This window comes from Homo sapiens, chromosome 15, assembly GCF_000001405.40.
Source record: "Homo sapiens chromosome 15, GRCh38.p14 Primary Assembly".
NCBI lineage: Eukaryota > Metazoa > Chordata > Mammalia > Primates > Hominidae > Homo > Homo sapiens.
The window spans coordinates 31,165,209-31,171,974 of record NC_000015.10 but is presented as its reverse complement, the minus strand read 5'-3'; positions in this window follow the sequence as shown (position 1 = coordinate 31,171,974).

Below are 6,766 nucleotides of genomic sequence, written 5' to 3'. Positions count from 1 at the left end.
AACTCAGGCTGGCAGAGTGGGAAGCAGGCAGCTTGAGGAGCCGGAGGTGTAGGGGAAATGACTCTCGGGAGACTGCAGAGCTAGAGGGACACACGCCATACAGCTAAGGGGCCAGGGAACCTCCTCCAGGGTGTATGGGATGAATCATGTACCCCAGCATTTATATGCCGAAACCCTAACCCTGAGGGCGTCAGAAGGAAACTGTATTTGACAACAGTCTTTAAAGAAATAACTAAGTTTATGAGGTCTTTGGCATGGACCCTAATCTAATCTGACTGGTGTCTTTATAAGAAGAGGAAATTTAGTTTAGCCGGGCATGATGGCTCACACCTGTGGTCCCAGTGTCTCAGGAGGCTGAGGCAGGAGGATCACTTGAGCCCAGAAGCTGGAGTCTGCAGTGAGCCATGATTGGGCCACTGCACTCCAGCCTGGGTGACGAGACCCTGTCTCTAAAAGAAAAAAGAAAAAAAGAGGAAATTTGGACACAGATGTGCACAGAGAGACAGCCATGTGAGGACATAGGGAGAGGATGGCCAATTCTAAGCCAAGGAGAGAGGCCTCAGGAGAAACCAGCCCTGCCCACACCTCAGTCTCAGACCTCCAGTCTCCAGGACTGTGAGGCAATGACTTCCAATGTTGAAGACCCCCAGCCTGTGGTCCTTAGTCACAGCAGCCCAAGCTGATGACACGGACATCGGGAAGGTTGTCATATGCCTGGCGGAGGCCAGGGAAGGGACTGGCAGAAGCAGAGGAGTGAGTGTTAGCCTTACCCCCTCCCACCTCTGCAGGTACCCTTCATCTGCTGGGCAGACACAGGCAGGTTGCGGGAGGCTGGGGTCCATGGAGCCAAAGTCCACACCATGGAGGTGTGGCACCTCTTGATGCCAAATGAACCAATAATCCCCTAAGTAGTGATACCCTCTCCTCACTCTGGGCATGGTAACTATGCCTTTGAGCCCTTAGGAGCCAGCGACATGAATCAGGACCACCCTGGTCACTCTACCCTTGACAATTCATGGAGATCTCTAGGGAAAATGCATTTTTAATATTTGCAGATGTTTGTTTGTAGTATGTGGTTACAATTACCAAGTTGGATGCCTTCATCTAAACATGAGCCCCCAGAACCTCACACTGAAACGCAGTTTGCCTCCAATTTTTGCTCTGGGAGAGACATGCTCCTCTCGGGACAGGTCTGCATGCTCTTGAGAATGAACCCTGGCAGCTTCATGGTACACTAAGCTGCACTCCGGGGCTTGGGCAGAGCTTGGTGGTCCTCAGGCAGCCCCCTGGGAGGTGTGTTGGTGGGAGCCCCTCCCATGCACACACCTTCTTTGGTTCTGGGGTGCAGTAGCAAGATCAGGGGTCTAGTCTCACAGAAGAGAAATAATATGCACGTGACACACTGTCCACTGAGGCTTGGCAAGAGTGGTCCCTAGTCTCTGGGCCTACCCTGGCCCTGGAAGTAGGGAGGGTAGAAAGCAGTGACCCAGGGTGAGAGACACCAGATGTGACCTAGAGTAGCCGGGGTCTGGAGGAAGATAGAGGGCAAAGGGAAGGGACTGTGAGCTGTATTGCAGGAGGACAGGTCTCTGGCTGGCCTTGGCCAACCTAGCTCTTCCCCATCTGCTCATGGATCTTAAAATCACTGTGGAGTGTACTGAGGTTGCAACTGCCTGAGATAAGGAGGAGCTGCCCAGAACCGCCTGGGCAATGTTCTCGTCCCTCCTAGAACAGGATGTCCCAAATTGCTTGTGCTTAGTGATCCTAGTCACCCGTAGGGCATAAAACCCATTTGGGGTCTCTCAACTGTGGTGCGACTTGGGGCACACAATGATGAGACTCCATCTGCCCTGTGCAGCCTTCCTGAGCCTTAGAGGACTGGCTCACCATGAATTCTAGCAATAAATTCCATCTTTTCCAAATATCAGACACTCAACTAATAAATGTGAAAAATGTTAGAATGAAGCAGACTGTGTCTGTGGATGACTGTGCCCAAATTTGTCAAAATCAAGGCAGCCAGTCTGCTAGCCTCAAACCTTGATCATTGCAGCAATACCCTAAGCCTTAAATTAGGAAGCATTCTGCGGTTTACAAGGGACTCCCCCACATATTAGGACCTCTGACCAAAACAGTGGGCCATGTGGGGCTTTTGCAGCTATGGGGAAGGGAAGTCAACATGCCCAAAGCCCCACAGCTCTGCATAGCTGAGCCCAGGTCCCCTCCCAGCACAGAGCAGACTCTCAGAGAAGGTCCACCTGTCTCACGTCCTGTGACACAGTGGCAGGTGGGCAGCCAGATGGGCCACAGAGATGAGAAGTCATCCCCAACTCCGACACCGCAGGGCAGCCTCGGCCGCTCTCCCCGTACAGGTGCTCCCCCACTCTGTTCAGGGGCTCAGCTCTGGCCTGGCCCTGCATGCTCACTTTTTTTTTTTTTTTTTTTTTTGAGACGGAGTCTCGCTCTGTCGCCCAGGCCGGACTGTGGACTGCAGTGGCGCAATCTCGGCTCACTGCAAGCTCCGCCTCCCGGGTTCACGCCATTCTCCTGCCTCAGCCTCCCGAGTAGCTGGGACTACAGGCGCCCGCCACCGCGCCCGGCTAATTTTTTGTATTTTTAGTAGAGACGGGGTTTCACCTTGTTAGCCAGAATGGTCTCGATCTCCTGACCTCATGATCCACCCGCCTCGGCCTCCCAAAGTGCTGGGATTACAGGCGTGAGCCACCGCGCCCGGCCGCATGCTCACTTTTAATCCTGATTTGGGATGCTCCAAAATGCAGACCGCTAAGCCTGGGGGATGGAGCGAGAATAATCACGTTTGGGCTTAATGTGAAGTGAATTCTTTCCACTCTTTGGGGTCTGGAGATTTCTAATGGCACATTTAATGACATGAGCTCCCTCAGTCTGTTTTTGCAGAAAGTTTCGAGGCCATCCACTTTTAGAAGCATCCTGACCCCGACCCAGAGAAGAGCCCTCCTGCCGAGCTCTCCAGCCTGGGCTTTCTCTGGGTGCTGCTACCATGAGACTCTTCTCTTCCTTGGCCTCAAACCATCGAAGACATTTTGTTCCCTGACAAACCAATTTACACGTTTTTAAGGGGAAAACTACAGGGCAACATGAAGAGGGAGATGGCAGGAGAGACAGACACAGACAGGCAGAGAAAGAAAACAATAGATAGAGAAATATAGATAAATAGATATAGATAAATAAAAATAAATAAAAAACAATAGATAAAGAAAACAAGATAGAGAGAAAGATACAGATGGGAAGAGATTGAAGCACAGGTATCTGTTGGCAAAAATGATGCCCTTAGTGAAAATCAGTGGCTCCTGCTACTAGCCAGACATGCTGAATATGACCACTACACAGCCCGAGCCACCTCATCTGACCCATGGCAGTCGGAGCTGGTCCATTAGAGTTCTTTATCTGCGGTCCCCAGGTGGCCTCAATGTCTTTCCAACACAGAGCGGCAGGCAACCACGACTGTGTATTTGACAGGTAGCTCTCTCAGAGCAGTCATTTTATTCTTCCTGGTAAGTGTTCACATGCATGTCCTCCTGGCAGAAGGTGAGCTCCTTGCTGGCCGGAATTGTGTCTTTCTTTTCTTTCTTTCTTTCTTTCTCTCTTTTTCTTTTCTTTCTTTCTTTTTCTTTCTCTCTCTCTCTTTCTTCTTTGTTTGTTTCTTTCTTTCTCTCTCTCTCTCTTTCTCTCTCTCTCTGTCTCTCTCCTTCCTTCCTTCCTTCTTTCTTTCTTTCTTTCACGGAGTCTCGCTCTGTCACCCAGGCTGGAGTGCAGTGGCATGATCTCGACTCACTGCAAGCTCCACCTCCCGGGTTCATGCCATTCTCCTGCCTCAGCCTCCCGCGTAGCTGGGACTACAGGCGCCCGCCACCACGCCCGGCTAATTTTTTGTATTTTTAGTAGAGACGGGGTTTCACCTTGTTAGCCAGGACGGTCTCGATCTCCTGACCTCATGATCCACCCGCCTCGGCCTCCCAAAGTGCTGGGATTACAGGCGTGAGCCACCGCGCCTGGCCCGGAATCAGGTCTTTCAAACTGAAACTGAGCTGGTAATTTCTGGAGCAGATGACATCGGTCATTAGGGCTTATTGTTTCTGAATCAACCCCTCCTGCCTCCACCCCAAGTTCAGCGCCTCTACCCACAGTTTCCTGGGGCTGAGAGGTGAAAAGTTCCCCAGGAAACCCTGCCTTTCTTTGTCAGTAATTCAGGGAAACAGAGGGCAGGGAGAAAGCTTCCAGGTGAGTTGGTGAAAAGGCCCCAGTGACCCCAGGGAGACTGGGATGGGGTTGGGGGAAGAGTCAGGTCGGGGAAGGGAGGGAAACTCCCAGCTCCATCCCAAGCTAGAGTGATATGGTTGGAGCCAACCTAGAGAGCAGCCAGATAGAAGCAGGTTGGTTCCAAGAAGAAAATGGAATGCATGTGTCACCAATTTGACAATATTCAGAGTTATGTTACAGGTCTGGAATAGAGTTTAGAGATAAGTTAATAATAAAAACAAAACTAATTAAATGAAGGAAAACTCAGCAAGTATCAACTTCAGGCAAAATTAAAAGGTGAAGGGAAACTATACAAACGCTATATGAACTATAAGTAAATTATTCCATAGTAAAGAGAACACCAAATATTAATTTACTCCAGAACTATGACATCACCCCATGAAGACTGCAGGAAAGGAAGTGTGGTTGGTGGGAGTGGTGAGGGCTACAATATCTATATATTTACCTTCCTTAATAAAAAGTCAATTATAAAGTCTACAATTGAAAAACTAAGAAATAATATTAAATGTATGTTATTTAGAATCTGGAGGTAAATACCAAAAAAACAGATAAGTGAATTGAAAATGATTATCTCAATGAACAGGAGATGAAGGGGGAAAAGGTAAGGCAGAGGTTAAGTTTTATTGTGGGTCGTATAACTGTTCAGCACATGTGTATCATTTTGCTAAACGTTAAAACTAGAATTGGCCGAGTGAGGTGGCTCGTACTGCAATCCCAGCACTTTGGGCAGCCAAGGCAGGAGGATCACTTGAGCCCAGGAGTTCGAGACTGGGCTGGGCAAAATAGAGAGAGCATGTCTTTAATTTTTAATTTGTATTTTTTCTAAAAATAAAATATACATAAAATAAACATTTTTAAAACTGGAATTAAAACATAGATTTACTATATATCCATCTATACTTTTCTCAACGTTCAAATAAACACACCATAGGTTAGAAGATAAATTGATTGACTGATAGATGTAATCTTTTTGTAAACATGTGTAATACGTTTTTATTATACATGTTCATGGGTGCAGTGGTTCACGCCTGTAATCCCAGCACTTTGGGAGGCTGAGGCGGGTGGATCACCTGAGGTCAGGAGTTCGAGACCAGCATGGTGAAACCCCGTCTCTACTAAAAATAGAAAAACCAGCCAGGTGTGGTGGCACACACCTGTAGTCCCATCTAGTCGGGAGGCTGAGGCAGGAGAATCACTTGAACCGGGAGGCGGAGGCTGTAGCGAGCTGAGATTGAGCCACTGCACTCCACCCTGGGCAACAGAGCGAGACTCCATCTCAAAAAAGAAAAAAGATATCAATACAGATAGATGTAACATCTATATATATATATATATGTTTTGTTTTACAAAAATATTACATCATACTATATACACTTTCTATACCTATCTGCATCTTGCTTCTCGGTTTCCATAAAAATATATTATGGAAATCCTTCCACGTCAACTGGCATAGAACCAACTGTTTTAAATGGTTATATATTATTCCATGGTGTGCATGCACCACAATTTATTCTACTATTTTTCCTTTGAAGGGCACTGACTTTGTTTCCAGTTTTGTGGGGATTTTTTTGCCACTATAAACAATCATTGAAAATACTGAGAGTAATGTTGTCAGTATGGCATACAGTTTACAGATAAGTTAACATCCTTGAAAGTATATTTTTACATATCACAGTTTTAATTTTTAAGGAATGAATTCCCAGGATAGGAATTGCTAGTAAGAGTATGTATACTTTAATAGCTCTTGTGAGATTGATTTCTTAAAAATATTCCAGCAATGAATGAAAATATATATTTTGTCGGCCAGGCGTGGTGGCTTACGCCTGTAACCCCAGCATTTTGGGAGGCCGAGGCGGGCGGATCACAAGGCCAAGAGATCGAGACCATCCTGCCAACATGGTGAAACCCCGTCTCTACTAAAAATACAAAAATTAGCTGGGGTGGTGGTGCGTGGCTGTAGTCCCAGCTACTCGGGAGGCTGAGGCAGGAGAATCACTTGAACCTGGGAGGCAGAGGTTGCAGTGAGCCGAGATCGTGCCACTGTAACTCCAGCCTGGGCAACAGAGTGAGACTCCATCTCAAAAAAAAAAAAAAAAAAAGAAGAAGAAAAGAAAGAAAAGAAAAGAAAATATATTTTTTGTCAAGATCTCCTTTTATGTTCTTCAGTAAAATTTTATTGTTTTCTTCCTATAGACTTTACACACTTCTTTCTAGGCTTGTTACTAAGTGTTTTACTGTTTCTTTTGCAATATGATGGGAACTATTTTCTAATTGACTATGCTTGAGGACAGAAAACCTGTTATTTTATTCCTGTCGACCTAGTATCTGGCAATCTTACTGAATCCTCTTCTTAATTTGAATAGTTTGCTTGCTAGTTTTCCTGGCTTTTTATGGGCAGATATATATTTTTTTCTATTCCTTCTCAATGTTCATACTACTTCTCTCTTTTTCTTTCTTTCTTTCTTTCTTT